The sequence below is a fragment of the Homo sapiens genome, chromosome 1, assembly GCF_000001405.40.
Source record: "Homo sapiens chromosome 1, GRCh38.p14 Primary Assembly".
NCBI classification, from domain to species: Eukaryota; Metazoa; Chordata; class Mammalia; order Primates; family Hominidae; genus Homo; species Homo sapiens.
The window spans coordinates 17,831,702-17,837,701 of NC_000001.11; positions in this window are offsets into that span (position 1 = coordinate 17,831,702).

Here is a 6,000-nt window from a genome sequence, read left to right on the forward strand (position 1 = left end):
ATTGAGGGCAAGACCAGCTCTTCGTCAGTTGCGTACATCTGTGCTTGTTCCATTAGCTCTTCCGTTCAGCACTACAAGTCTTGGACAGCTCCCCTGGGCTTCTCACCTCCTCTCCCCTCTCATTCATGATTTCTGGTTCCAAGAAGCCAGTCCCTACTGAGAAAGCAGGAACCCTGGCGGAGAGGACAAACTCTGTTGTCAAAGTCAGGCAGATGCAGGCCGGAATCTCTGTTCCTCACTTATAAGCTGTGTTGCTTTGGGCAAAGCACTGCCCGTCTCTGGTTCCATGGCCTCATCTGTAAAGTGGTGATAATAATACCTAACTCATAAGGCTGATATGGGAATTAAAGCCATTTATCCATTTAGTGAAATTCAGTAAGCACTTTCTCTGTGTCCTAGGCCCTTTGCTAGGCTCTGTTAAATTGAAGCATGTTTGTAAAGTGGCTTAGCAGAGCTTGGCACATAGTAGGTGCTCAATAAAGGTAATTTTTCTCCCTGAATCACTGCAAGAAAAATCCAGGACTAAGGATGCCAGGAGACTCCACGATGATGCACGGGCCCCAGCACACATTCATGCTACTAGGAAAGGTTCCTTTTCATCCTGTCCTTTTGATTAACTTTTCCACTAACGTGTTAGGATCTTGATATACAACCATCTTAGGAATCTTCAGAGTTTTAAGAGGCCCTAAAATCAGAGTATGAGAGGTGGGTCTACTCTTCTTCTGTAATTAATACAGAGTTAATGACACTCGCCCAAATTCAGGCCATTCTCCTGATTACCTAGATCTGTGGTTGTCCCCTCTACAATTACCTCCCTCCAGGGAGAGGACATTGCTTTCACCTAGGAAGGACAACACTGATGAACTGAAGACACAGATTCATCTTGGCAAGCCTTGCTGAACACCAGGTGGGGCTGCTGGGGACATGGAGAACAGACCTGACTCCCACTCCTTAGGGTTTGATGGGAGTGGACATACCCCCAGGGAGGTGGGGGGCAGGCCAGAGCCATCTCCTCTGTAACCCTGTGCTTGTGGGGTCATGATCTTAGCCCAGCTCTTCCAGCCAGCAAATCAGTCTCCTGGAGCGACTGAGAGCCTTGCCATGTTGCTCCCACTGGAGACATTCGGCAGGGGGAAGGGGTTGGTCGTAATCCGGGTTTAATTTCTCCAGGGCCTCCATTATGAATTCCATAACTCTACCAGTCAAAACATGACTAATTCCTGGGACTGCAACCCCCACCTGGGAGTAGAAAGCTCTGTGCTGTTTTTGCTACCTTTTGTCACCACTAATAAAGGCTTGGCAGTCGGAATTTAGCTGCTGTGGGTGGTTTTCTTACCCATGTGGGCTTTCCCTTCCCCCTACGGGGTCACTGTAGAGTGAATGCTTGCTTGCCTGCTGGGCTGGTTTTCCACCAGCTTTGTAATATTCCCAGCCTGAAATGCCATGGTTTTGGGGGCAGTTTGCAGAGAAGGGGCCACGGCATTCAGGGTTAATTGGGCCTTTGATGATTTTGACAAGGGTAGGATACTGCGTGATTTATGGAGCAAAGAATGGGTTGGTTGAAAGTAAAAGAGCAAAATTGCAGGTGTGATGTTTAACCTGCTGAAGAGAACATGATTCAGGACGCATTCCCTCGCCTAGCTGGCGTGATAGTCTTTGGGAGAGTGGGCCGTGCAGACAGTGAAACTGTGCAAATTGTTGTTTCACCCCCACCGCCCATCCCCTACCCCTCACTAGCTGCAAAACCCTGAGCAGGTTACTTAGCTTTTCTGAGCCTCAGTTTCCACATCTGCAAAATGGTACAGACTGGCCATCAGCCCCAGCTGTGCAGCAGGGTTGTGTGTGGCTGTGTATTTAGCACAGGGCCTGGCCCATCAGGAGGCCATGGAGGTGGCGGAAACAATCTTCCTGTGGTCGTGTTATTTTATCAAACACCATAGTCATTGCATAGTCATTAGAGATGGTCCCTGAGGGCCTGGCTAAGGTATGAGTTTGTTGTCTCTGCAATAAGCAAAGACCAACTTGGCTTTCATCTCTCTAAAAGCAGCACCTGGTTCCAACCACCTGGCTCTCTACCTGGAGTTAATGTGGTCTCGCTCCAGGTAGGAAATGGGGGAGCCTTTGACTTGGGGAGTCAGTGGAACCATCTGTGCATGGGGAGGGAAAGGGGGTACGTGTCGAGGGCTGGCCCTGTCTTGGAAGAGAAGGGTGGGGATGGTGGAGCCGGGGCCAAGGCGATGAGGAGGTGAAACAAGGTGGATCTGCCTGGTGAGCCCTTGAGAGGGTCCGTTCAGCCAAGAGCCGCTCAGTCTGGAAGGATAAAGGCTGGAGGAGAAGCCCGAATTTCCACCCTGGCTCTGTCACTGTCTAGCTGTGTGACCTTCGGCTGATTACCTAGCGTCTCTGAGCTCCAAACCCCTCATCTCTAAAATGAGGATAATCATAGTATCTACCCTATGGCTTATAAAGCATTATCTGAGCTTACCTTAAGCAGAAAGCTTAGCGCGGGGCCTGGCACTTAGTGAATGTGCAGTGTTGGCTGCTGCTATGATTATCGTGATTGCGATCATGTTTACTCATCTTTTCAGCTGCTTTCATAGGGGGTCCTTGGCATGAACAGACACAATTGGTCTGGGGTTATCAGTTGTGGCTGGAGGCTGTGAGTTGGTGACTCTGCTGCAGGGAGCAGCATCTTGCCAGATGTAGATGGATGCTCTCATCCTGACACCCCTGAGAGCCTCATGGCACGTCTCAGAGCAGGCTCAGACCAGGCCTCTCCTTTAAGTGCTGGGTAAGAGTTTTAATGTGAAAAGCTGCCTCTCCTCCAGCTTCTGGAGGACTGGAGTCAAAAAAGAGAATGTCAGTGTCAGGTAAGGACTCCTTTAGGCTAAACTGTTGACCTGGTGGCCATGACCTTGAAAGTCAGATTCACCTTGGATAAGCAGGAGTCACAATAAATACTTTCCCTGTTGTCTCTGACTTCAGACTCTCTCCATAAACTGCCACTCTTTACCTGCTCCACAGGCCACCGTCTCTCACCTGGGTTCCCGCAAGGAGCTCTTACCAGCCTTTCCTGTCTTCAGCTTTGTCTCTACCCCCATTCCGCAGGGAACCTGTGAAAGGCCGTGTCGGGCCATTCAGCCCCTTTGCTTAAAAGCCCTCCCATCTCATGCACAGTAGAAAGCCCAAGTCCCCACTGCATCCTGTAAGGGCCTGCTCAGTCTGGCTCCTGGTCCACTCTGATCGCCTCTCCTCTCCCTCGCTCAGTCTTCAGGCCCCCCAGGAACTAGACCGGCCTCCCCACTGCTCCCTGGTCCTGCCAAGTGTGCTCTGCCCAGACCTTTCCCCTTGCTGTTCTTTCTGCCTGCAGCACCTTCCCCAGACAGCTGCTGGTGCATTTTCTTGCTTCTTCAAGTCTTTGGTCAAATGCCACTTTACTAGAGAGGACATCCCTGACTGCCCCCATTCCCATTAAAAATTAAAAGCCCCCACAGCTCCTCTCTTCCCTCTTCCTGATTTATTTGATTTTTTTTTCTAATTTGTCTCTCCATTAGAATGAAGCTCCATGAAGGCAGGAATTTGTTTCATTCACTGCTGTTATCCCCAGTGCCTAGAACAGTGACAGCACATAGTAGTTGCTCAATAAATGTTTATCAAATGAATTAGTGATGGAATCTTCCTTCCCTGAGGGTGTGTCTATAATCTACACACAGGATGGGCAGTCAACTCTTCCTTCTCTTCTGAGAACCAAACAAAGGCATGTGGCTCCAGCATCCAGCAGGAGGTATTGAGGTGATCCGCTTGTAAAACTTTCTGGCATTGAGCTAAAGATTGGTATAGCCTTGTGAGTGCATTGATGGAGATGCCTTTCTAGGAGGTTTGAAAGCCTCTCATCTGCAGGGATGTATATTTAGTTAGCTGCCTGGTAGAACTTTCTGTCGTGGGAAGGTGGGTCTGATTAGAGTGAAAAAGAAGAAGCCGAGAGAGGTGATAGGATGCAGTCAAAGTTGGTCACTTAGTAGCAGAATCAAGGTCCAAGTCAGGTCATGTTATTTAACAGTCCTCGCTTCCATTTATCAGGCACCTACTATGGCGTAGGTACTGGAGCTACACAGATGAATGGCTCCTACCCTTGAGGGGCTCTCGGTCTAGACCCTTGATCCCACCACCTGATCTTCCCATCCATCCATCATTTAAGGCTCTGTCACCTGTTCTCCCTCATGCTGCAATGTTCCGGGCACACTCCCCACCTCCTTCCCTGACCATCTTGCTACCTTGGCACTTTTTGCTGGCTTGCCTCTCTCCCTTTCTCTTCAGTCTGGCTTAAAGCACCATCATCTGGCTAAGGAATCTGGCTCATGATCTAAGCCAGGGAATATTAGCCCCATTTTACAGATGAGCAGACCAAGGCCTTAGCTTGACTCGAAGACACTATGGCTCAAGACACCATCATCTGGTTCAAGACACCATGGTGTCTTGGTGCTTCCATTAAGAGCACAGGTGACCTAGGAGGGTGGGTAAGGGATAGGGCTGGAACTGGGGGCCTTGAATGCCTGGTTGAGGAGCAAGGCTTTATCTGGAGGCTGGTGGAGCTTCCAGAGTTCTGTGCCTTAGGCTGTGATATGCAACAGGCTGTGATGTACTCAGCTCAGCCTGTGTCCTGGCTCTTGCATATAATGAATTGGAGCATCATTTCTATTTCTTGGATATTTTGGGGAGGCTGAGCCTTATCTCTCTCAACTCAACCGCAGCTACTGGAGTCCAGGGAACTTCATCTCAGAGTCCTTGGGCAACAGTAAATTGGAGTGGAGAGACCTCAGCCTCTGTTTTTAGATGGGAGATCCAGTTGAAAATCTTGGTTCCCTGTGAGCCTCAGTTTTCTCATTTATAAATTGAGATGAGAAAACATTCCTTGTCATTATTGGGAGGATGTGATGAGTCCTAGCATGTGAGATGCCCATCGCAGTGCCCGGCCTGTTGTAACCATTCATCGAGAAGCTTGCAGAGCTGTGGTTGAAGGTGTTCTCTCTGGAGCCAGGAGGCCTGGGTGCCAACCCGGACTGTCACTCTCCAGCACCGTGACTTGGCTTTTCTGTGTGACGTAGTTAATATCTGCCTGATGGGGTTGTGGGGAGGGAGGATTCAGGGAGATCCTGTAGGAAGCCCACAACACACGTGCCTTCTTAGATTAAAGCCTTTGTCTTGTCATCATTGCTAGGAAAATGGTGGAATGTTGTAGAAGGAACTAGGAGAGGCAGGGTCTCTTCTAGCTCCTTAATTTACATATGGGGAAACTGAGGCCCAGAGAGGCAGAGCAGAGACACAGGTCCCTGACTTTTAGGCCTGCCCTCTCTCCTCAGTTTCATTGTTACTGATTGCGGTCTGTCCCCCCACCAACCCCAAGGATGGGGACAGTGGGGGTTTGGTGACAGTGTCCTGCCTGCTGCAAATGTGGCACCTCCAAGGGAGCGTCTGTGGGGGAACTGTAGCTGACATGCCATTCGAATCCCCATTTGGGAGATGCAGACACTGGTTCCATGAAGGCTGCTGCTTTTCCCCCTAAATGAGAAAAAATGTCTTAGATATGCCTTGTGCTGCAACCACCCCTAATCTGCAAACCCTGTAATTCTCCAAAAGAGGGAAGGGAAAGGAAAAAAAAAAAACATGCCTACACAGTCTGGCCGACTCATAGGCCAAGATTTAGAGACGGGAGCTGTAGTGAGGTCTCGCATTACTGAGCCTTCATTACTTTTACAAAATATGTTCTGGTGGGTTCACCCGCAGCTATAAAGTGCCGTCGTAAATAATTAAACTCCACTTGTCAAGGGGGCTGGGAAAGGGTGGTGAAACATGGTGTGTGTGAGGAACACTGGGCTGGGAGATAGGTGTCCTGGGACTCTGGCCTGTCTCTGATCTCTGTGCCCTTGGGGGAGGGGGGCGGGCAATTTCACCTCTCCTGGCTCTGGCTTCCCCCTGTGTAGAATGAGGAGGTTGGAGCAG